This window comes from Homo sapiens, chromosome 2, assembly GCF_000001405.40.
Source record: "Homo sapiens chromosome 2, GRCh38.p14 Primary Assembly".
NCBI lineage: Eukaryota > Metazoa > Chordata > Mammalia > Primates > Hominidae > Homo > Homo sapiens.
The window spans coordinates 86,436,356-86,461,735 of NC_000002.12; the positions used below are offsets into that span (position 1 = coordinate 86,436,356).

General features: G+C 39.4%; 1 protein-coding gene across 7 annotated transcripts in view, besides 7 other annotated features; it reads left to right on the forward strand.

Moving 5' to 3' along the window:
• KDM3A (lysine demethylase 3A) overlaps window positions 689-25,380 on the forward strand; it is a 55,673-nt gene continuing 30,981 nt past the window's right edge. Inside the window, exons 1-8 of one of the 7 annotated variants that reach the window (XM_047445102.1) lie at window positions 689-4,607; window positions 5,663-5,878; window positions 13,452-13,607; window positions 14,748-14,858; window positions 18,730-18,832; window positions 20,087-20,211; window positions 20,450-20,522; window positions 20,628-20,716. In XM_047445102.1, the coding sequence (XP_047301058.1) occupies window positions 5,693-5,878; window positions 13,452-13,607; window positions 14,748-14,858; window positions 18,730-18,832; window positions 20,087-20,211; window positions 20,450-20,522; window positions 20,628-20,716 (843 nt within the window). In that variant the 5' untranslated portion in view covers window positions 689-4,607; window positions 5,663-5,692. The other 6 variants (NM_018433.6, XM_047445101.1, NM_001146688.2 and 3 more) reach the window with 6 other exon arrangements.
• Window positions 4,085-4,628: an enhancer, noted in NCBI's record as "OCT4-NANOG-H3K27ac hESC enhancer chr2:86667563-86668106 (GRCh37/hg19 assembly coordinates)". NCBI's record gives its function as "activates a minimal SCP1, AML or CMV promoter by ChIP-STARR-seq in naive H9 embryonic stem cells {active_cell/tissue: H9 hESC(naive)}" and the evidence as "EXISTENCE:reporter gene assay evidence [ECO:0000049][PMID:30033119]".
• Window positions 4,085-4,649: a biological region, named in NCBI's record as "OCT4-NANOG-H3K27ac hESC enhancer GRCh37_chr2:86667563-86668106".
• Window positions 4,450-4,649: an enhancer, noted in NCBI's record as "active region_16159". NCBI's record gives its function as "activates an Ori minimal core promoter by ATAC-STARR-seq in GM12878 lymphoblastoid cells {active_cell/tissue: GM12878}" and the evidence as "EXISTENCE:reporter gene assay evidence [ECO:0000049][PMID:35858748]".
• Window positions 4,730-4,809: an enhancer, noted in NCBI's record as "active region_16160". NCBI's record gives its function as "activates an Ori minimal core promoter by ATAC-STARR-seq in GM12878 lymphoblastoid cells {active_cell/tissue: GM12878}" and the evidence as "EXISTENCE:reporter gene assay evidence [ECO:0000049][PMID:35858748]".
• Window positions 4,940-5,329: a silencer, noted in NCBI's record as "silent region_11712". NCBI's record gives its function as "represses an Ori minimal core promoter by ATAC-STARR-seq in GM12878 lymphoblastoid cells {active_cell/tissue: GM12878}" and the evidence as "EXISTENCE:reporter gene assay evidence [ECO:0000049][PMID:35858748]".
• Window positions 5,550-5,599: a silencer, noted in NCBI's record as "silent region_11713". NCBI's record gives its function as "represses an Ori minimal core promoter by ATAC-STARR-seq in GM12878 lymphoblastoid cells {active_cell/tissue: GM12878}" and the evidence as "EXISTENCE:reporter gene assay evidence [ECO:0000049][PMID:35858748]".
• Window positions 5,800-5,859: an enhancer, noted in NCBI's record as "active region_16161". NCBI's record gives its function as "activates an Ori minimal core promoter by ATAC-STARR-seq in GM12878 lymphoblastoid cells {active_cell/tissue: GM12878}" and the evidence as "EXISTENCE:reporter gene assay evidence [ECO:0000049][PMID:35858748]".

Below are 25,380 nucleotides of genomic sequence, written 5' to 3' on the forward strand. Positions count from 1 at the left end.
CTTGGATAATTTTTACTAACCAGTGGAAGTTATTTCTGGCAATACCCAGTGGCTAAAATATATTTGTTGGCAGTTTCAATATCCTGCTGCTCAGTCCTCCATCTGTCTTCACCTCAGTGTATCCTTTGACCTTACTGCATGGTCTTCCAAGTTGAAACTCTTTTTGGCTTGCTTCCAGAATGTACCTCTCACCTGGTTCTCCTGCTGCTTCTAAGAGATCTCTTGGTCTTTTCAGTGCCCACTGCTGGTCCCTACATGAATGCCCTCCTCACCCTCCTTGGGGTCTGACATCCATGTCAAATCACTCTCCTACACACTCTCCTCCCCCTCCTCAGGCTCTGTTACTCATGCCAGGCTTTCTTCTCATGTAAACAGTCTCTTCACTCTGTTTGGGCTCCAACATACCACACTAGGCTGCCCCCATTCATGGATGCCCTCCTCACCTCACTTGGACTCTAGATAACCCAGGCTAGGTTAACCTTTTGTGTGTCTACCCTTCTCACCCCACTTGGGCTCTGACTGTCTATGCCCGGCTATTACTCCTTACTCTTTAGAGCTCTAACATCCCATGGCTGACAGCCTCTCCTTATTAACACCTATCTTGCTCTGCCCCTCCTAATGGCCTCAAGACTGAAATGTTTAGAAAGAGGAAAGGAAAGAGAAAAAAGTAGAAGAGAGGAGGGAATTTTAAAATATTTTATTGGATTTTAAAATATGTAGCATTTTGATCTACCTGGAACTTATTTTCGTGAATGTTGGTGTAGGAATCTTGGTTATATATACATTATATACTTTTTTTTTTTGAGACAGAGTCTTGCTTCGTCATCCAGGCTGGAGTGCAGTGGCGTGATCTCAGCTCACTGCAACCTCTGCTTCCTGGGTTTAAGGTTCAAGTGATTCTTCTGTCTCAGCCTCCCGAGTAGCTGGGATTGTGGATGTGCACCACAACAGCCAGCTAATTTTTACAGTAGCGATGAGGTCTCACCATGTTGGCCAGGCTGGTCTCAAACTCCTGACCTGAAGTGATCTGCCACCTCAGCTTCCCAAAATGCTGGGATTACAGGCATAAGTCACTGCGCCCGGCTTATATATACATTTTTAATGGATAATCAATAGACCTCAAAGCATGTATTGCATAGTTTATTCTTTACACCCACTAGAAATATGTCGATCACAAACTAATTTTTAATATACACTGGGTCTGTTTCTTTGTTCTCTTCATTACTTATATATTTATGTCTTGATGTTTTTATTTGTTGTTTTGTTAGAGGAGAAATGACATATTTATCAGATCATATCAAGAGACAGAATTTTTCATCTTCTTTATACATGTCAGCAAAGTCTAATTTTCTTCATATAGGTTGTGTTCATTTCATGTATTAATTTTTAGGGATTACATGTTTTATTATCATTAATGGTTTTTATTTTTCTACTGTATGTTCTAATTGATGCTTGCTAAGGAATAGGAATTCTTTTGATTTTCGTTTGTTGATCTTTTATTGCATTATCTTTTTGATTCTTGTTTTAATTCTAATAATTTGTCACTGATGCTTTTGATTTATCTACAAATGTTTTGGGCTTTTTCTTCCATTCCAATGTTTACATTGTATTATTTTTCTTGTCTTATTACATTAGCAATTAACCTCTATTGTAACTTGAATAGTAATGACAGCATTGGGCATCCTTATCTTGCTCCTGACTTTATTGGGAATTTTTCTAAAATTTCACAATTAAGTACAATGTTTAAGTATATTTCTGGTAGATATCCTTTATAGAGTTATAAAATTTTCTTTTCTTGATAGTTTGCTAAGAGTTTTTATAATGAATGAAAATGAAGTATATAAAATTTTTGGTGTATCTATTGAGATAATCATATGTATTTTCTCCTTTAATTTGTTAATGTAGCAGATTCCATTAATGAGAGTTAAAAATTAAATTTTAAAAGTAACATGTGAGTACATTTACCTTATAAAATGAGAGAATTACAGGGAGTGGGGAGATTGGGTAGATGTTGGTCAAAGGACACAAAATTTCAGTTAGACAGGAGGAATAAGTTCAAATGATCTAATGTACATCATGGTGACTACAGTTAATGACAATATATTGTATATTTGAAAATTGCTAAGAGTGGATTTTAAGTGTTCTCACCACACAAAAAAAGATGAGTATGTGAGGGAATGCATATGTAAAATAATTTGATATAGCCATTCCACAATGTATATCTATACCAAAACATCATATTGTACACCATATAGTTTTACCTGTCAATTAAAAATAAGGTGATAAAAATGTAAATACAAAAAAAGTGTATTTATAAAAAATTAGAATTACAAATAATATGTGTTGTCTTTGACTAATACCCCTAATTCTAGTGTGCACCCCCTAATACCAGTAACCATTACTGTAAGTTTTAATAACCATATTTAACAGAACATATATACTGTTGTTTTTGTATGTGTATTTTGAAATAGTACCAAATGCAAATTTCTTTTTCATTCATAATGTATTTTGGTAACTATTTTTATTGGAACATCTAGCTGCTTTGACTCCTTTACAAATCCTCTACAACTTTCCAATATATGCATTACATTCCATTTATTGTTAATAATTTTATTTATTCCTTCTCCAACTGGAGTACACTTAGGTTATTTGCAGATGTTTTTTCGTTCATATGTGTGTGGGTGTTTTTCTGTGGTACGTAACTTATATTCCTAGGTTTTTAGAAAGTTTAAAAACATTTTTTAAAAATTATGGGTGGTATTGAATATAAGTGTACACTTATAATCTTCTTAGTTTTCTATGTAATTTAAAAATACTCTTAAGATCACAAGTGTTCAATGTGACTGCATGCTCTATTTAGCCCTAAGGTGAATATACGATTTTTCTTTTTTAACCTGTCATGGTGAATTTTAGTAATTTTCTAATCTTGAAGTATCTTTGCATTCATATAACACTAATTAATCATATCAATTACCTAAAAAAAATGCTGCTGGATTTAATTTGCTGGTATTTTATAAAAGAATTTCCCATCTATGTTCCTAAGTATAATTGAACCATAGTTTTTCTTTCTTATACTCGCCCAGTTCAGAATTTGTGAAACGGTTTTATAACTTTTATAAAATGCATTGGATATCTTTCCATCTTTTCTAAGCTCTGAAATAATGAATTCAACATAGAAAGTATATGTTCCTTCAGGTTCAATAGAATTTTTCCCTTGAGTTGTTTTTCAAATTAATATTTAATTACATAATCTAAGTTCTCCATATCTTCCCTTATATTTTACATTTGAGTTGCATATTTCTGAGATATTTATGTCTTCTACTCTGAAAACAAATTGTCAAATTTGTAAAATTTCTCATCGTTCATAGCGTCACCTTAGGATAGGCCATGTTTTTAGATTCATAACAGTTCAGGAGACCATACTGTCTTCATGGACTTTATCTTTAATATAAAATCCTTTCTCTTTTGATACTTTTAATTGTATTAATATTGCTATACTGCTTTCATTTGGCTACCATTTGATTAAATATTTTAGCCCAGTATTTTCAAGCTTCCTGTTTTGTAAGCATTTGCTTATGGTCAATTTATAGCTGGATTGTCCTTTTATTCCCAACTGTCTTTTAAAACTTGTGAGTGAAATTAACCCATTTACATTTATTGTAAATACTGATGTTTGGACTTTTCACATGAAAAACATTTTTACCATATGTTCTGGTTTCTTTTGCTTATCTCGTTCCCATTTCTGCCTTCTTTCAGCTGGATAGGTTTTTTCTTCTCATTTAGCAGCCCCCTTCCTTTAAATGGTCTACAGATTATAAATCCAATTTAATTCTTGTTACTAACTTTAAAAACTTAAAATCACATTCAGAATATGTATATTGAAAATCAACATCCAGAGTTGATTTGCATCTATAATCCCTTATATGTTTCCAAACATTCTCTGATTATACGTTTCCACGCTTGTAAAATGGGAGGCATGAGTTCTTCTTAAGGATTAAATGTGATGTAATGTCAAACACTAGCCTTTATGAACATATCTTCAATTTCTTCATTCCATTTCTTTTTCATTCAATCAAAATACTTCAGGTCCAGAGCACACAATCACCTCTAAACTCCTTTGTCCTTCAAAGTCACCTTCTCTTTCATCTCTTCCATCATTCATTATGGCCTTCAACTACTTTAAATTTCTTTGTAAGTATCTGAATACCTTCTCAATCCCACTTTGGAGAAAAAAAAATCTCATTATACATTGTATTTAAAGGTCTCTTTTGCTCTAAATTTAATGAACGTCATTATCCAGTAACTCCACGCCTTTCTTCATTTATCCTTCAAAATGGCGGACTTTAGACGTTCCACGATCAGTACCACGTGCGCCTGCGCCTCCCGCAGCCATTTCGCCCAGCAGCCTAAGCTCGGCGAGGCGCCTGCGCACGAGCCTCCAGAGCACTATCGCTCCTCCCTCTAGCTGAGTACGCCTGAAACCGCACGTTCTCTTCCCTGCCCTCCCCCGCTAACCCTGCACCGCCCTCACCCTTTCCTGTGAGATTCTTCCGCCAAGTGGAAGGCTCATCTTCGGTCGACAGCCTACGCGGTTGAAGAACAATCCAGTAGGCACTTATAGCTCAGGGTCTCGCCATTCAGTCTTATCTATGCGCCACAGCAATTTTCCTCCGGGCCCCAAAGTTGATAACCGATTTCGCGGGACTTTTTTTTTGCATACTGTGAGGCAACAAATGGAAAGAATAGGCCTATGGCGGAGGGATCACTCGCTTATTCTCTGTGTACTTTAACCTAATGGGGGTCGCCCGGGAGTCGGAAGGGGGAGGGGAAAGGGAGGAGGCAGCCAAGGAATTGTTTTTTTCTCTGGCCCCGCCCTCGCCCGGGGGGCCAATGGTGATGATCTGTTTCCCCCGGAGCCTCGCCCAGCTCCTGTGTTTCAGCCAATGAGCGGCGGAAGCGGCTCCGAGGGGGGCGGGTCCGGGAGGCTGTGCGTGTCTTGTGAGAGCTCTTGAACCAAGTCAGCGCTGGAGTCGGCTAGGCGGCTGGAAACGGCGGCTGCCGCCGGTGACTCAGGGAGGCGGGAGGCGGGGTAAGAGCGCCGCGGCCTCGGCTGCGGGGAGAGGGGAGAGAAAGGTGAAAGCGCCGAGCGCGCGGCCCCGTCGCCCGTTGGCAGCGGCGCAGGCCCGGGAGACGGGCGCCCGGGGTTCGGGGCCGGGGAGCTGGGCGCCGGGGCGGGGCGGCGGGGCAAGTGCGGAATCGCGGGCTCGCCCACCCTCCCCCGTGGGGCCGCCCGGGGCGGGGACCCAGCCGCCCGGGACCGGCTCTCTGCACCAGGGGCCTTTTCTTTTCGGGGCTGGGGGCTGAGCACTTTCAAATCCACTCGAGCCGCAGATAATTTTTCCCTCACTCCCTCTGCGGTTGCGTTTGAGCTGTTAGAAAAGCCAAACTTGGGAGAGCGAGGGTCACGCGGCGCTGGGGCCCGGGTGTGTGGCGGGGGAGGGCGGCGGGGGGCGGGAGGGCGCAGGAGGGGGGCTCGGTGCGGGTCCGCCCGGGGCCGCGTCCTCGCGCGGGTTCGGCGCCCTCCGCCCGCCCTCCCTGCTGTCTCCGCCCGGCCCCCTCCCACCGGCCGCCCCCGTCGCATTTTGTTTTTGTGTTTTTGCAGGGAGGAGCTCTTCCTGCAGGCGTGGAAACCATGGTGCTCACGCTCGGAGAAAGTTGGCCGGTATTGGTGGGGAGGAGGTTTCTCAGTCTGTCCGCAGCCGACGGCAGCGATGGCAGCCACGACAGCTGGGACGTGGAGCGCGTCGCCGAGTGGCCCTGGCTCTCCGGGACCATTCGAGCTGTTTCCCACACCGACGTTACCAAGAAGGATCTGAAGGTACAGGCGGCTCCGGGCCTCTGCCACCGGACGTTTCGCAGTTACCGTGGTAACGCGACCATCGGTTCCCTCCTTCCGTTTTCTGAAAACGGAGACCAGAAAGTTGGCATATGATCTGAAGGTGCAGGAAGCTAGATCTTGAAAGTCTTTGGAATGGTTGTATAGAGCCGAGTTGTGTTTGGCCCACAGCTCCTGGCTGCCTGGCTTTAATAATGGGCTTAGGGTTGTTCAGACACGCTTCATTAATGCCGGTGCTGTGTCCCACCAGGACTGTCTCATCTTTACTGCAGAGGAGGAGGAGTATTTTTGTTAGCGTTAGGTAGGGCCTGTAAGTGACGTTTGGAGTCATTAAGAATTGAAGGTTAGTGCTTGGAAGTACTTTCAGCTGGTTTTGTTTGTTTGTTCCTGTTAATTTATTCACTCAACTTTTAAAAAAACTTTCAGACTTGTTAAAAATGAAGTGAGTGTAGAGGGAGGAGCTTAAGTTCTGTTTGGCGTATTAGGATGGGTGTTTGTCCGTATATGGTGGGTCAGGGCAGGAGTGGGTTCCTGGTTGTCTGTGATGAGCCGGTGGGTGGGTGTGGGATATGACCATATATGGAGGGATGGGGTGGAGCTGTCCCATATATGGCATATTGGAGGACTGGCTTAGAAATACTGCACTTGGACGCATGAGGGGAGGGAGAGAATTGGGAACAAGTGCGGCCAGTGATTTTTTTTTAAATCATTATGACACTCAGAACCTTTTTCTGTTAGATCTTTTCAAAGACAGATGAATTCTGATTGTGCTCCCTAATAGAAGTATTGATGTGAAAGGATTGTCTGGGAACAAGCAGTGAGGAAGCCATTGTACCAACAAAGACTCCTTTGTGCGAAAATAACTGAAAAAAGGTTCCTAACAAAGACTCCAAAGTGGTGATAACTTGAAGGAAGCTTGTCAGAACAGAAGATATTTCCACCCTGCCTAGTAGATGTGTTTCAGAATCTTCACTTGGCCATCATCTTTGCTTTTTCTTAAACTATGTTCAAATAAAGGCAGCAAGTTTTAGCATTGGCAGTTGATTATATGTTGATTTCTGAAACACTGTTCATTTGAACACTTTCAGGGTGACAGTGTATGCCCAAACTGGTATTTATCTGCAAAGAGTTGTAGGAAAGGGGTATGCTGTTAGGCATGTTTTAAAGCTTCAGTGTTGTGCCTTGTCTCTTGTTGAAAAGGAGGAGTGACCGAAGAGCATTTAACCATGTGGCAAGCACTTCACAACTATGATCTCGTTTAATCCTTACAGCAGTTCTTGGGGGTAGGTACTAATATTGCCCCCATTTTATGGATGAAACTACTGTGCCTGAGGGACGTTAAGCATCTTGCCAAGGACACATACGTAGGAATTGACATAGCCTGTATTCTGTCAAACCCAGGAAGTTTTACTCCAGAAGCTGCCCTCTTAACCATCAGGCCAGTGATCAAGAGCTATGCCACAGCAGAGCTCCTGTCATAGGCTGTGAGGTTTGGTTTTTTCCTGCATTCGGCTCATTCTCCTGCCAAATCAGGTTTTGATGTTTATAGAGATAATATATTGTGGTGCAAGAATGGCCAACCTTTTTGCTTTGGGCTTATAACCTTTCTGTAAGCTGGGCTTTGTGTACTAGATTTCAGTCGTGCTTGTTGTGGTTTATTTCGCCTGCCAAATAAAATTTTCTCTAGTGCATTTGTTTTTATGTGATTTGAATGGAAACAAGATTTTATTTAAACTTTCCAGTCTTTAGTTCTTTGGCAGATGTTGAGAGACTAGGCGTTCCCTTCCCTTCTGTAGCAGCAATTGAGGACCTGTTGGGTTAGGCAGGCAATCTAGGAGGAACTTCACATGTATATATTTTTTAAATCTCCTCCCTCCGCCCCCATCCTTTGAGGAGGTGGTGATATCTTCATTTTCAGAATGAGGAAATAGATTTAGGAAAAGGAATCTTGTCCAGATTTGCATAATTAGCTGCGGAGGGAGGCTGCGAATCCAGATTGGGCCCAGTGTCTTCTCCACTGCACTTTGGTGCCTAACCTGAAGACAACTGGGAATTCATGTCAAAAACAATTTTGGCTAGGTTGGATTTTTGCCTTACTTGTACACATCACAACTCAACCCTCATGTAAGATGCCAATCTTCTGTCTCTTTTCTAGTCATGATTTATCACTGCATTCCTTAGTTGAGTAGCAGATGTTAAGTTTGGGGGCCATGTTGCATTAAAAAAAACCAGGATTTTATTTTACCTTGATTTTAGAGTTGGGGGGTCTTGTTGCCCAGGCTGGTCTGGAACTCCTGGGCTCAAAACACCAAAACCAATTTGTGCTTGGTGAGATGGAGGCAGGAACCAAGTAACTAAGACCATGCTTACACTAGGGTTTAGGGGCATTAAGTTTTTGGGGGGTGAGATGGGGGTGGGGCGAGGGGCTGAGATGAATGTCAATAAATAACATTCAAGTAATATGTAACCATTCTTCTATTATTAGGACAAATACAAGTCTGTCTAGACTGGCTTGTTTAGATAGTTATGGATGATATTAATGAGGCCAAGGCTTGTTAACTTTGTTTCACCTAGAGAGACTTTATAACAAAACCACTTACTTAGATGACAAAAAGAGAATATGTCTAGTAGTTGGTTACAGAGAAGTTAAGGTGAAGACATAATAACAGTGGATAACTATGATTAAATGGTTACATCAGGATTTAGCAAAGAAAAAATAATCATTAAATGGATATTATGTGGCGATTACTTCATTTAATCCTCACAAATATCCTAGATGGTAAACTACATTTTTAGTGTCAAAAACTGAGGCTTAAAGAAGTTAAATAACTTGAGTTTGTCTCCAGACCTTAAACACTAGGCTTTAATATTCAGGTAGAGCGAGGTTAGAGCATTTTATTTTGCTAGCCTCTATATCCCTAGCACCGAGAACACTGCTTGGCATGTAGTGTGTGCTCAGCTATTTGAATGGATAAGTGAAGGAATCATAAAATTATTACCTCTCCTATGGAGAAACAGTTTAGAAAGAATCTACTGATGAGGCAGTAGCATTCTCTTCATCTGGAATAACAACAGATCTTAATTAGATGTGGCTATAAAGACTGCTTTAATCTTATTTTTATCCTGCTCTTTCTACTTGAGTATGAAATGAGTTGCTTCCTAGCTGATTTTGTTCACATAATTATGCGTGGTGGGAATGCCCTGCTTCCTTAACTTGTCCTTTTTTCTTTGAAGCCTACCTTTTTCTTGAGTCTAATGCCCTGCTTCCTTAACTTGTCCTTTTTTCTTTGAAGCCTACCTGTTTCTTGCGTCTAATGCCCCTTCTTAGTCCTTACAGGTGTCCTTAGCAGGCAATTAGTCCTTGCCATCTGTATGTACCATTTCCTGCTATTGTCAGCAATTTGGTGCCTTGACTAATGCCTAGCCTTTCATTTTTGCACACCATTGAAACTTTAATGTTAGTGCAATCTGCTGCCAGTCAAGCCATGTAAAATGAAAAAACTTCTAGCACGGTATAAAAACTGTTTACCCCTTTTAATTGAATGCTGGACCTTGGGATCTTCGACAAACATTTAGGCATAAGAAGACATAAGTGGAAGCACAAGGAATTAATTTCTTTGTGGAGTAGTGAATTAAGTGGTATCCTGCATTGTAGTGCAAGGCATAAAATAGACATGTAATTAAAAATTTGTCTAAAAACCATATCATTCTGTGCTCCTGCTTTTAAACTTGGAAACATTTTCATTGGTGTTTCTGATGGCCTTTATAATCATATAGTCAGGTGAGATGAGAGTATGGTAAGAGTGGGAGATTTTGATATTAGTTTATTAGATACAATATTAATTCATATATCAGAAAGATTTTCTGTTGGGGAAACATTGGCTTGAAAAATCTGAAATATCGAGCATTTGGTCAAGGTGTTTCATAGGTACTAATAAGGTACACATTTGCAAAATACCCATTAAAAGAAGAGCAGATTTCACAATTATAGGTAGTGAATCATAGTTGACTCTGGCCTTTGAAGCCACACAGTGTAAGTCACATCTCATTGTGGGCCAAAGGAGCATGGGTGAAATAACACAATTTAGAATAGAAACTAGCTGCATCTGTCAGCTTGCATGAGCTTGGTCAAGTCACTTTAGTTCTTACTGAATTTAAATGTCTTTTTAGGCCAGGCGCAGTGGCTCATGTCTGTAATCCCAATAATTTGGTAGGCCAAGACGGGTGGATCATCTGGTCAGGAGGTCAGGAGTTCAAGACCAACCTGGCCAACATGGTGAAACCCAGTCTCTACTAAAAATGCAAAAATTAGCCAGGTGTGGGTGGCACTCACCTGTAATCCCAGCTACTTGGGAGTCTGAGGCACGAGAATCACCTGCATCTGGGAGGCAGAGGATGCAGTGAGCTGAGATCGCGCCACTACACTCCAGCTTGGGCAACAGATTGAGACTCTGTCTCAAAAAATAAAATAAGTGTTTTTTTGTAGAAATGTCCACAGAAGAAGCTTTTTTGGGGGATGTCATTAAGTGTAAAACCTCAAACCTTAAGGCACAAATGAAAGATGCTTTGTTTTTTCTGGAAATGGGGTCTCACTCTGTCACCCAGGCTGAAGTGCAGTGGCACAATCATAGCTGACTGCAGCCTCAACTTCCTTGGCTCAAGCAATTCTCCCACCTCAGCCTCCTGAATATCTAGGACCACAGGTGGGCACCACCACTCCTGGTTAATTTTTGTATTTTTTGTAGAGACGAAGTTTCCCCACGTTGCCTTGGCTGGTTTAGAACTCCTGGACTCGAGTGATCCTCCTGTCTTGGCCTCCCAAAGTGCCGGGATTACAGGTGTGAGTCACCATGCCTGACTGACATATATGGTTTTGATAGGAAACTTTTGAACAATATTGAAGAAAGCTCACAACTTGTTGGTTTTCTTATATATTTTTTAAAGTCATCTTTTTCCAAACCAAAATAATGTGATTTTTGGCTAATACAGCATAATATTTGAAAGTCATAAACTTAAATTGTTTTTAAGGAGGTAAACTTTTTTTTTTTTTTTTCAAATCACTCAAAAATTGGGATATGGAAAGGGGCCCTGTCTGTCTTTTGGTTTAGGGTTATCTTAAGCTTTAGATAGTGATCTGGTAAGAACTGTGATGTTGCTTAAGTTTTGGGAAACCACTTAAGATCTTAATCCTTCTTAATTCTGCACTTTTTTTTTTTTTTGCTGAATAGATATTAGATAATTGTGTTGAAGATCCTCTTTCCCCTGCTCCTAACTTAATAAGTGATACCTTGATAAGATTTGAATTAACCATGGAGGTATTAAAACTACCTAGTTGTCTTGCCAGACACTTTACATACACTGTCTTTTAAAATATGCCTAACTATGCAATGAGAGGTGTCACTTTTTTCATTTTGAAAAACATTGAGAGAACTTAGATTTTCTAAGTGAGGGTTCTTAACCTGGGGTGCAAGTTAGTTGGTTTCCTTTGTAATCATAAGTATTTTATTTTATACATGTAAAATCATTCTAAGAGAGATTCAGTGTAGCTGGGAATTCAAGGTCTCTGAATCTGGATCTAGAATTTGTGTGTGCTCATTCCTCTTATACCACATTGCTGATAAATAAGAAAACTGTCTACCTAAAGCTTGGTTGGGTTTGAGGTTGATGTGAATATGGAGCAGAAAGACTAGCCAATTTAGGGGAGATGTCAGAGCATATGGATTCTGTGGCTAGGAAACAGAAAGGAAGATGGGCAGTCTCTGCCCACCTTTATGAAAGACCATTTGGTTGATTACAGTGATAGAAAACATATAACCAGGGAGAAACGTATGTGGGCCTTGCCACGTGGGTGTTCACATTTATTCTGATTTGGAAAGTATTCAGTAATAACTGCAAAGTTAAAAGCCTAAAATACCAAGAAGATATGTAGTTTCCTAGGTAAAGTCGCCTGGGAGGTTAGGGATGCATGTTTTGTTGGCTGAGAAGGGTAGGATAGATCTTAGATTTCATTTATTTTTATCCTGTAGACTGGAGAAGGTTTGGGATTGGGGCTAATGTGGGAATTTAGTGCCTTCTAAGCAGGTGAGAGAAACAAGATAGGAACCCAATGCAGAGGGAAATTTATTCATTAATCTATGCTAACAAGTATTTGAGTACCAATTAGATTCCATATACTAGTGATATACAGTTGTAAGCAAAAGCAGAGACAGACTTTGACCTATTAGAATTTAATTGTCAATCAGTTAACAAATAAATAATGCAAAGTGTGGATAAGAGCTAAGACGGAAAAGTACAAAACTTTGAGTACAGTTAGTATGGGGACCTCTCTTGGGAGAGAGAGGCACTTTGGTAAGGGAAGGTTTGTTTGAGGAAAGGATATATGAATTGTGCTCTGATAGATGAAGTTAACTAGTTAATAAACTGAAGGTTGAAAAGGGATGTATGAGTGATGTCTGTAAAATGATGAACAGATTTGATAGATGATAGATGTATTAACTAATTCCTGGAAACCAAAATGAGAGACCTCTTTAGTAAGAGGAGGAATTTTAAATCAAATAAAAACAGTGATTTTTACACTGAATATCGAGGGAGTTTATTGTCATTGGTAGAATACAAAAAGCATTGAAGAGGACCTAGAGTAAGTTAAGGGGTAGCATATTTATAATAGGTTAAGGAAGCTGGAGTGTTTCAATGCTTTTATATGACTTTGAGTTTTATGGTTTTGTAAACAATTCCTACTCATAGATCACTCCCAGAAGCCCACTTTTAGACTGAATTTTCTTAATGTCTTTAAATATGTATACAGGTTTTAAGAGTTGTAGCCTTAGGGTTAAAAGTATTATGCAGGTCAGAAGCAGAAAACATTACAATTACTTGGAAAACAATATTTCAAGGTAGTTTAACTTTCATATAAGAAGCTAGAGATAGTTCTGAAAAACTTTGTGGTCATTTTGTTAATCACTCGTTTCTATGTTATCCAACAAGTAGTTTAAGACTCCAAATTCTGTGGTAAATTTCCTAGCTTATTCAACTGAAAGGGATATTGAAGATGTGCTGTATATTAGGCCTTGTGCTAAATTTACTCATTCCAGAGGAATTCAAAAGGAGGTGGTGGATTGTGGTGATGGGGGGTCATCTTAAGCCCACTTATATTGTCAATAGACAATTACAGTGCAGTTTTATTAAGTACATCTTTTGAGTTTCAAATTTTTGTCTTGCAATTCCAAAAGCTCAGATGTCTAATTAATGTATGTAAACGCCTGATAAGTAGGGGTTGTTTGGTTTCTGGGCTTCCCAGGGGTTTACTTTAGGGACACAGACTGGCCCAAAAAGCCTTGACTTCTGCATCCCGAAGTGAGTTGGGAGCCAAAGCCTGGTTCATGTGTGATTATGTATTGTGGGCTGTGACAGGAAGTGAGGGAGCTGGAAGGGGGAAAGCACATCCAGATAAAGGATTCAAATAGAATAATGAAGGTATAGTTCAGCTGGGGCATTTGTAATGCTTATTTTAATAAATTGAATCTGCTTCCCCCACCCCCCAATTTTGTCTGTCTAGGTGTGTGTGGAATTTGATGGGGAATCTTGGAGGAAAAGAAGATGGATAGAAGTCTACAGCCTTCTAAGGAGAGCATTTTTAGTAGAACATAATTTGGTTTTAGCTGAACGAAAGTCACCTGAAATTTCTGAACGAATTGTACAGTGGCCTGCAATAGTGAGTAAAACTTGGGCTTATTGAACTCCTGAGAAGAGGGCATTTTATCCATTGTGGGTACAAAAGGAATATGTAAATGTAATGCCAGAAAGTCAGAAAAGCTCCCAGGATCTCCTGCCAGCCCTTTTAAGAACTCTGCACTTCTGAGCGAGTCCCTTGACTTTGTTGGACCTCGTGTTCACTTGACAAATAGGGATGGAGGTAGTAGTGGGAATGTCTAGGTCAGAAGGCAGGAACTAGCAGTCATATGCAAACATATAGATCTGTTTGGTTTGGCCCTTGCAGTACTTTCAAAACATTTGAATTAATTGCCTACTTTAAAAAATGTGGAGAATACATCTGAAAATCTAGATTTCCATTGTCTCTTAAAAAATCTACAAGATAATGGCAACACTGGAGCCTTATGGCAGCAATGGGCTAGAGCCAAATAGTAGCTGTTGCCTTGCTCTCTGTAGGGTTTCCAGTCTTGATCTTATGATCTTTAAGGTTCCCTCTGGATTATTATATTTTTTGGCTTTAAAGATACTATAAGTCAGTATATGATTGTGCTATATCCACATTGTAAAGTGTGGTGCAAAGAGAAGAGTGAGCGCTGTCTGGAGAGGGCACTTTAGTCTTTATGGGACTTGAGCTGGTGCTTCAAGGAGGGAAGGTTGGATCTGGATAGTTTGGAAAGGCCGGGAGAATGGTTGAAGGCTGATCAGATTGTGATCTGATTTTGCCCATGAGTGAAAAGAGCTGCTATGGAGATTCTTGAGAGATGAGGGTTGTGGTTAAAGTTTTATTTTGCTCTTTGTATTTTTTTTTCCAGCTGTTTAGAACTGGTTAAAAACACAGGCCTGTCTCCCCAGAGAAGTGTGCATACAAACAGTTTTTGCATAAATTTTTGGGACACCATGAATCTGTGAACCCAGTCTTGAATATTAATAACTCCCAAATGTCTATCTGGTTTAAATTATTGGGTTTGAATAAAAATTGTATTATCTATGGCTGCATAAATAGTTGTTATGAGATAACTTGCAGTAAATAAAAAAAATTAGTGGCTTTATCACTTTCTCTGTGTGTGGAAAATTGCCAGTTCCTATTTTCAGAATTATGCTGACAGCAGTTATGATGCTAAAGTGTTTTCTTTTGTTTTAGACGTACAAACCTCTGTTGGACAAAGCTGGTTTGGGATCCATAACTTCTGTTCGCTTTCTGGGAGATCAACAAAGAGTATTTCTTTCTAAAGACCTTTTGAAGCCTATACAGGTAAAACATAGAAACAGTAGTAAACATTAGAAACAGAAATACGAACTCCTTTAACATGAGAAGTAAAGTACAGTTGAACCTTAAATAGTGTGGGTATTATGGATGCCTACTCCTTGCACAGTAAAACATCTACATATAACTTTGATTCCCTCCAAACTCTACTAATAGCTTACTGTTGACCATAAGCCTTATTGATAAACAGTTGGTTAACATATATTTTGTATATATATTATGTACTGTATTCTTACAATAAAATTAGCTAGATAAAAGAAAATGTTATTAAAATCATAAGCAGAATACATTTAGTATTCATTAAGTGGAAGTAGATCATTATAAAAGGTTTTTGTCCTTGTCTTCATGTTGAGTAGACTTTCGGTCTTGCAATCTCGGGTGACAGAGGTGGAAGGAAATCTGTTTATAATGGGGCCTGCACAGTCCACAACTGTGTTGTTCAGTGGCCAACTGTATATTGATGTTGACTGCTCTAATTTAAATACCTAACAGGAAAGAACCCATCCCATCAGCAGTTAGGTGTTAGACATCATTCCTCAATGTTAGCTTTTAGGTTAGTGCTGTCCATTTACGGTTGAAAGGACAAGGGTATTATAGTTGATGGTGTGTGTGTATGGAAACACTTAGGTGATATGAAAATAATATTTAAAAGTAGACCGTTGTTTATATACATATATGTGCATGCATACATAGACACTCATGCATACATATATACAAGCAATCCTCATTATTTGTAGATTCTATGTTTGTGAATTTACCTATTTGCTAAAATATATTTGTAACCCCAAATCAATACTTGTGGTGGTTCATGGTCATTCACCAGTACTTGCAGAGCTGCAAATAATTTGAGTTGCATGATGCAGGTTCCCAGCTCCTAGCTAAGGTTAAATAAGGTGATGTTCCACCTTGTTTCACTTATGCTGTAAACAGGTGTGCTTTTTGCAGTCTATTTAGTGCTGCATTTTTGTGCTTTTTTTTTTTTTTTGGTGATTTCACTGTTTAAAATGGCCCCCAAAAGCAGTGCTGAAGTGCCATGATGTGTCTTAAGAACAAAATACATGTGTTAGATAAGCTTCATTCGTCTGAGTTATAGTGCTCTTGGCTGTGAATTCAAGGTTAGTGCATAAGCAGTATATATTAAATAAGATGTCTTTCAACAGAAACACATAAAACAAGATTATGTGTCAATTGGTTGTTGAAAATGTGACCAGAGGCTTGAAGGAACCTACACCTGTATTTCCCCTAGGAGCAATGGTTCAGTATTTGTTAATAAAACATTTTTTTGCAACTTGATAAAACATAACTACTGCAAATGATGAGAATAGACTGCACACACGCATACAAACACACACATTATAATAATATTCATCTTTTAGATATCATTTATAAAGCTGAATAATCTTCTTTACCGCCTTCTGTTTTGTGACTTCATACCTGACTTGTTTCTTTGGGGTATAGAACTATGAAACCTATTTGCTAAAAGTAGTTTGGGGTCAGTGGTTATCAGGTTGCCGAGCCTGTATCGGGAAGCCCAAAGCACTGGCTTTTCCTCTACTTGAGTCTCATCCATACTTCCATATCTGGAAAGTGAGTGAAAACAGGATTCATAATCTGAACCTTATTTTATAATGTTTAAGTAATGGAACAGAGGAAGATGCTTTCACTTAGTTAATTTCAGACACAAGTTCTTGTGTTATACCCATCTTGATATTTTTCCTGACTTAAAAGGAAGACTGACTTGCTTGCAGGGATCAAATAACATACAGGGGGGTTGTGGATATTTTGCTTTACTGAGTAATAAAAGGAATTTTTTATTCTTAGTGCTGTTTTCTGAATTTACATCTTTCCTGTATTTAAGGTTTTCAATTAAGGTAGAACCCTAGTTTTGTTTCTTGGGATTGAGAAAGAAACATCTAAATTAGTAAGTTTATATTTGTTCTCGGGAAGAGGGGCTGTGGGGCTGTGAGCCATCAGTGTGAATGTTGTCATTAATACGATATACAATTAACTGGGAGAACTATAATGTGTGGTCTTGACTTTTAGTGATGTTGAGTTTTCAAAGTTTAGTACTTCAGAGAATTATCTTGTAGATATGGGTGTTCACAGTAGGCTGTACGAAATTCCACGTTGGGGGATGTGATTACCCCAGTAGGATACTTGCTCTAGATAATGCACAGAGCACCTGAAAATCATTTGGCATGTGGAAAAATTGGGATTGAAAGTTAGGGTCCGTCTTTAGATTGAATTTTACTCAGTTATCTGTTGGTAAGAAAAAGATAAGGTATCTGGACAACTATCTTGCACTTTCGTTAAGCCCTAAACTCTCCTAGGCAGCCTAATATTTTTCTACTTTATTGAAGCCCTTTGCGGCTCTTTCCATTGATACATACTTTCATCTTGTAGTAGGAATTGGAGAATATAATTAAATTTTTTGAAATTGCATAAACAATACATGCATGAGAAAAAAACAAAAACTAACCCATTCTGGTAATTAATGTTGATCTCTTATGGAGTCCCTAGGTTTGTCTAATGTTACTTGGCAAAAGAAATACATTTTTCCAGCACAGCTTCTCTAACAGACTAGTTATCCTTCCCAGTGGGAAAAATGGATGACCCATTCTTGGTCATTATCCATTTCACAGTGGCAGAAAAGCATAAAGCCCTGATATTGGAAGGGCTTCTGTGTTGAGCACTGTTTTTTCTTTGCCCTGCTAGAATTCGGTTTGGCAAGTTATTCCTATTGACAGTTTCTGTATTACATTTATCATAACTGGGTGTGCACACAAAGCCAGAAGACTGTGGAATAGTGCCAAGAATGGAGCTGCTGCCAAGAATTGAATGTTTCAGAACTGGCTTACTCTGACGCCTTAGGCTATTCATTCAGATTTTCTGTTTGTCCCCCCACCTCCCTTTTTGTAAAAAAGAATGCATTTTGTAATACTAGTTAGGTTAAATGAATCTGTGTGAAATGAGTTGTTAAAAACAGCAGTTTCTTACCAGGAAGGGAGCTGAAGCTTGGTCAGCTTTAAGGGGCCTTAGAAAATAGGGTTTTGGCCTAGGTAACCAGGCTGAGATGTGGTTCAAAATTTTCCCTAAAATTGCCATCATGGGTGCATGCTTGCTCATCCCCAGGGTGGCCACTGGGCACAGCCATGGGTTTACTAATGGGAATATGGAAAAAAGGGCTGCCCATTATCAGTGGACTTTGGTGGAAAGAGATATGTGTACCTCTGGAGTTAATCTTTACAATGTGTCAAAAGGTTTGGAGAACATTGATCAAGGAAACATTTTTCTGATTGATGAATAAACTAACTCTCAGTTATGGTCATCTACCCCTGCTAGTAGGTTACACAGTGTATTATATAGTACATGCAGTGTGTTATATAAAATAAAAAAAAAACCCAGACAGTAATTGCAATGAATCGACCATATACATCTGTCTCTTGTGTGTCATATCTGTGTTTTTTGTCCCTTGGATTTGGATTGTGATTTCCCCATCCCCAGTATTTAGGATACAGAGTGTTTTTTACTTGGATTGACCAGCTGTTTGTTTGCTTACTTTTTTCCCATTGCCAAAGTTAGTCATTTTTAAAATTATGCTTTGAGTTCCTCTTAATATTTCTCATGCTTCTAGCTTGGGATGACTTTACTTCAGTCTGCCTTATAGCTGTGATCATTTGATGGTCTAGGACTTTTTGAGCCATCTGGTTTACTGGAATTGGAATGATTTGGGCTATCACATGGTTTGTTGACACTACTTTAACCCATTTGATTAACCAATTGAAATAGCCCACTGGAATTTAAATAACTCTTCTTATTAACTGTTACCCTTAACATGTAATGATCTTTCATTTTTCAGGATGTAAACAGTCTTCGACTTTCTCTTACGGATAATCAGATTGTCAGTAAAGAATTTCAAGCTTTGATTGTGAAGCATTTAGATGAAAGCCATCTTTTAAAAGGTATATGCATTATCTAGTGGTGATAGTTCACGAGTTGACCAATGATTAGCTTGTGAGAAACTAGGGTTTAGCCTCTCATTCATTTGCTCATGGAAATTTCTTTTTTCTTTTTTTTTTTTTTTGAGACAGTCTAGTTCCTAGGCTGGAGTGCCAGTGGTGCTGTCTTGGCTCACTGCAACCTCTGCCTTACAAGTAGCTAGGACTACAGGCACGCACCACCACACCCGGCTAGTTTTTGTATTTTTAGTAGAGACAAGATTTCACTATTTCACCATGTTGGCCAGGCTGGTGTCAAACTCCTGGCCTTAAGTGATCTGCCTGCCAAGTGTGAGCCATCACGCCGGGCCATTTCTTACTTTTTTTCTAAAATAAATTTTTAAGAAATTTAAAATTTAAAATTCAAAAAATGTGTGTGTTGCTAAAACCTCTGAAATTTGGAAAGTTCAGGGATTATATGAAACTAACAGTAAAGTAGGGCCAGGCACAGTGGCTCAAGCCTGTGATCCCAGCACTTTGGGACATCCAAAGTGGGAGGATTGCTTGAGCCTAGGATAGGAGTTCAAGACCAGCTTGGGCAACACAGGGAGACGTCGATCTCTACAAAACATTTTTAAAAAAATTAGCCCGGTGTGGTGGCACATGCCTGTAATCCCAGCTACTCAGGAGGCTGAGGCAGGAGGATCACTTGAACCCAGGAGGTCAAGGCTACAGTGATCCCTGATTACACTGCTACACTCCAGCCTGGGTGAGAGCAAGACCCTGTCTCAAAAAAAAAAAAAAAAAAAAGAAAAGAAAAAAGATATTTTTAAAGCTCAGCTATATTTTGATGTGGAATTTGATATGTTTGGAATATCAGCCATATAAAATGGATAAGGCATTAATTTGATACTCCTTACCTTCCCATTTGTGTTACTGAGTTTCTACAATCATACATTTTTTTTCTGTGTTTTTTAGATTATCAGACATAGTATTTTTGTTGGGGTTCCTGAATTTGATTCCTCTAAAACTACACAGGACAGTGAGTGAGGTCTTGATGAATTGTCTAATACTACTTTGGTCCGATACAAAATAAAAAGTTTAAATTTTCTCATAGCTTTTCTGAAATGTCAGTCATCTTATGTTTGTAGTGATTCTTTTAATGTTTACTTTTGCGTTTTTTTAAAAAAGACTTAGGAAAAGATTGTCCTGGATGATGTTGCTATTGGGAGATAATGCAAATTGCTCTAAGATTTTTTTTTTTTTTTTTTTTTTAAGGTGACAAAAACTTAGTTGGTTCAGAAGTAAAAATTTATAGCTTGGACCCATCTACTCAGTGGTTTTCAGCAACCGTTATAAATGGAAACCCAGCATCAAAAACTCTTCAAGTCAACTGTGAGGAGGTAAAGACAACAATAACTCTTTGTAAGATAACTCGACAAAGCATGATAACTATACAAAGCATTTATGATTTTCTAGGCACTAAATACCTTTATTATTTTATAGGGTAGAAATAATTACAGTTGTTTTAAAAAGAAATTATTCATAAGAAGCTCCTATTGTTATGTTAATGAACCTGATTTTCAGTATGTTCTTGAGCATTTTTTATTTTCCGGTATCTTTGTTTCATTTATTTTTAAGATTCCAGCACTGAAAATTGTTGATCCGTCACTGATTCATGTTGAAGTTGTACACGATAACCTTGTGACATGTGGTAAGATATGTTATTAAAATCTTTCTTCTCCTTCCTCCTTTCCTCCGTTCTTCTCACATTAAGAGAAACAGGGAAGCCAACTTAACCTATTTTTAAATATTTTAGGTAATTCTGCAAGAATTGGAGCTGTAAAACGCAAGTCTTCTGAGAATAATGGAACCCTGGTTTCCAAACAAGCAAAATCTTGCTCTGAGGTAACCTTTATTTATGTCACTTGTGTAAAGCTTTCCTTAACTCCAACATTGCATGGCTAGTTTTTATTTTTTATTATTTATTTAATTATTTTTATTTTTTTAGAGATAGGATCTCACTCTGTCACTCAGACTGGAGTGCAGTGGTGCAACCAGAGCTTACTGCAGCCTTGAACTCCTGCCTCCATAGTAGCTGGGACTGCAGGCATGTGTCATGCATGACACCTGGCTAATTTTTGTGTTTTTTGTAGAGACAGGGTCTTGGTATGTTGACCAGACTGGTCTTGAATTCCTGGGCTCAAGCGATCCTCCCGCCTCAGCTTCCCAAACTGCTGAGATTACAGTCATGAGTGAGCTACTGCCCCTGGCTGCGTGGCAAATTTTTTTAGTGTTATATTGCTGTCTGCTCTTCTTTGCTAGTTCCAGATCTTGGCCATAATTTCTACACTGAAGCAGATGGAGATAATATAAGTTTATGGTTCACTATTTTATGTAAAAAAGTTTCATTTTTTGGTATTTGCTGGAGATTCTCAATAGATTTGACAATTTCACCATGTGGAAGTGTTCTTAAAGGTAAATTGAGTTGTGTGTGTCAATGCCTGGCATGAAAAGAGGGAAGGAGCCTTAGAATTCTGAGTAGTTTGGGTGTTGAAATAGGACCTTCACCTTCTCAATAATAAGGAATTTAATTGGTCATTTATGATTGGGTAAACAAATGTATTTCAAGGAAAGTGATTGGTTTGCCATTACTAATTTCTGTCCAGAAAAGTATAGGCTTTTGTGAATGCTACTGTGGGTTCAGGTACCAGATTTAATTCTATTCTGAAATAGTTACCATTTGGACCGAGACTATTTCTCTTTTAGGTGAATTAAATCATTAGGACCTATTCCAATACAAATAACTTTCTGGCACCTTAGGAATCCAAATGCCTAAATGTCACATGGATAGTTTCCTGTGTTATAATTATCAAAAACTCCTTTATAATGCTCTGCCCCAGGCTGGAGTTTAAAATTTAAAAACTGACCAAGGCCAGGAGAAATGGCATGGGGAGTGGGCCAGGAAGCCAATGAATAAATCTGGGTTTCTTGATTAAGGGCAGACTGGACTACAGCATCGACTAGAACCAAAGCTAGCACTGTGCCACACAAACACTTGAGTCTGTGTAGCTAGGATGGTTAATTGGCTTTCTTGAATCTTTCCTGTATACAGGCAACAGGAACTTTGATACTTCACCAAAAGCTTTGTAAACCAGTGTCTGAAGCCTCTGTCCTCCTTTGAAGGGTATAGGCTTTGACCTCTTGAGGCTCAGGTTGTTTAGGAAAGAATGAAGAGTTAAGTATGGAAATTAGTCTTACTACCTTTCATTTTTGCCTTAAAGTTTACAAGGTAATTTCAAGTACATCCATCCAAGAAACCATAGTTACTGTATTAAGTACTCACTGTGTGGTGGATACTTGGTCCTGGAGATTGAAAGGTATCTGGAGTTCCTGTCTCAGATTCCATAGGATAGTGAGGGAGACAGACTTCCAGAGGGCTCCCACAAGTGCAGGGAGAGTGCTCTGGTCAGGAGCTCTGCAGGTGCCTCAAGAAGCAGCCTGGGCAGAGCCTCTCAGACAGGGAGGACGTGTCTTGTTTGGTGAAGGGCAAATGTTTCATTGTGGCAGGGGCACAGGAGGCATGGAAAAAGAGAAGCAGGGTCAGAGATAGGAAGTTTGGGTTTTATGCTGCAGATGAAGAGGGGGTGTCTGGGGTGTTCAGGGGTTTTAAGTTCAGGAGATTGACTTAAGCTCTGTAGATGATGGATGAGGGAAGGACATGAGAATAGAAATGAGGGCACTGATGAGGTTAGTTGTATTGCACATCATAAATAGGCTTGAGGTGAGGCGGTAGCTAAGGGGGTGGAGAGCTATTTAGGAGACAGCAGTAGTTGGATTTGGTGGAAGACTAGGTGTTAGGACTGAAGAAGCACAGGAATCTAGCTAATGAAGTAGGTAGAACAAATGGAATGTCTGCCTCAAAGAACATGACAGTTCTAGCTTAGGAAGCCCAAGTGACATGGTCAGGCAATTATTTATGATACTATATAGTCTCCCAGTATAGAAAGGGGCTGAGCTGCTGAGGAATAGGGGTCCCTGGTCTAGAAGGGAACAGATAGTAAGGCTCTGGGTAATTAATGTGGCCAGGACTACACAGAGGATGTCAAGCTCAGAGACAATATTGTCAAGTAATCCATAGTATTAGAAGCTGAGAGATAAACAGGATATAATAATAATTTCTTTATGTCAGGTTTTAACGTTAGAGAAATTGTTGGCAGTCTAGAGTTAGAAGTAGTAAATATCAGTTTGGAGAAGTTGGTTGTGTGTTGCCTGTCATGGGGAATGTGTCAGTGTAAATTGGGAGTATGATGAAGAGGAGAGCTGAGCTGTGAGACTTGCTGAGGAAGAAGGGTTGGGAATAGGAATGACGTATCCTGTTGGATGGTGGAGCGATCAATCTGGGGTGCAAGCAGAACTGAGGTCAGTGGGAACCTCCCTTGGGGGAAGGTGCCTTCAGAATGTTGAGTGTGTCAGCAATGAGAAAGGTGTTTGAGCAAGTAAATTTCTAACCTTCAAGGAGGTACTTGTAAAATGTGGGCATATAGACATATATGATATGATCCTGTCTCCTTGATTCAAATTCTTGCAAGGCCAGAAGCATTACTTTTTTATCTTTCTCAGCATGTTGCCCATACTATGTGTGCTATTGAGCTGATTGTTGGGCACATTAGAAGCTATTAAAAAAATAAGCCTGCACTTCAGCCTGGAGATAAGTTTCTTAACTTCTGCATCTAATATGATAAACTAAATTAAGTGTTTTAAAAATGTACATTGCAGCTCTTGAGCTCTATGCTAGTCACGTCATTCTAAAGGAAGTCGAAGGTGGATTTTTACCTGGGTTTCAGAAGTTCTTGAAAATATTTTTTTGATTGTGAAGCTCATCTCATTTGAAAATTTTTGGTTAACCTAGAAAAGTATAGTAAAGAATAGAATCATCACTTGTAATCATACTTCTCAGAGACTCTCTGTTTACATTTTGAAATACTTCAAATGTAATGTAAGGAAATACTTTCCTTCTGTCTCTTCTCCCCCTGTATTTATCACAGAGACCTGATTTTTTTTGTTAGTTTTTTAAAACTAAAAACCATACTCTTGTAGCCTCCTTGATTCCCTTGCAATGTATTATAACTATTATTCCATATCGGTAAATGTCTTTCGTTCTGGGTGATTCTTGTAGTCAGACAAGTTTTGGATACACTGGCCTGGCCTAGATTTCAGGAGGGCTGGAGAGATAAAGGGAGCAGTGGGGAAAGAAAGTTTTTGAAAATGTATGAGTGAAAGGTGAGTACAGTAATGCACTCAGCACGATTCTCACTGTGTTTGCACTTCCCAGATGTGTTGGACTGGCACTTTTAGGGTGGTCTTTAGAAGACAGGCATTTGGGACTAGTAGGCAAGACTCTTGACTGTCTTGATGAATACTTTTGGTTAAGATAAACCTGTTTGCCAGTGATACCTGGCTCCTTGAAGGTCTTCTCTGCCTAGCAGACTATTCCTCAGAGTTACGACGTTGCCTGGTTAGTTGGGAAAGAGTCTGCTGAGGAATGTGAGCCGGCAGTGTCCTTTTTAGAATTCTATCATACACTCAATTATATTATCTCCGTCTGCTGGCAGGGAGGAACTATTGCCATGACTGGTATAGAAGACCTTCAGGGAAAACTCTTCAGGTAAGAAGAAACTTTGACCCTTTGTTGAGTCAGAGGCCAGTGCGGAGGTGCACTCGTGAACATGGGTTTGGGAATTGGAGTCCTGTTCCTGTTGAGCTAAACCTTAGGAAAGTTGTAGAAGGAAATACTTGAGTTTCTTAAAGGAAAAGCACGCTAAGTTGTGCTAATTCTAACACACGGTGACAGAATTGAGAAAATTTTCGCAATGTTTTTCTGCTTTAAGACAGCTCATCTCTAAAATTGATTTCAGCGCCAGGCACTATGGTAAAAGCACAGCCCTGTAAAGTATACTTCATGGGAAGAAAGTGCTAGGAAGTGTTAGAGACTGAATTTCAAACCAAAGGCTAACACCAAAATCCAGTACTCTTCATCACTGTGCTGTTGCCACTGCTCTCCAAATCTTCTCCTTGGTGTGGTGAATCACCCTTGTAAAAATAGCAGATTTCTCCTTTCTTCCCTCCTTCCCTCTGTTCCTCCATCCCTCCTTCCAACAAGTATTTATTGCATATTTAGTGTATGCTAGACTGATCTACAGTGGTGATCATCACTTCCTGTCACTTCAGGTAACTCATAAGACTTATTGATTTATAGCTATTTAGAAATGTTACATGCTAACAGCATTCACTCCTTGGTATGTTCATTCCACCAGTCTTATTTATTGAGCATCCACTGTATGTTTGGTTTTATGAGGTTATAACAGTGGGCGCAACAGCAGGGCCTCTGCCCATAAACAGTGTGTGTCCCATTGTGAGGAGACTGACAGTGAATAAGTGAAAGGTACTTTCATGGTGTGATAAGGGCTATGAAAGGTATAAACAGAAAAATGATAAAGAGTAAGGGACGGCTTTTGGGATGCTACTTCAGAAAGAGTAATCAGAAATTCTGAGAGTGTGACATATTAACA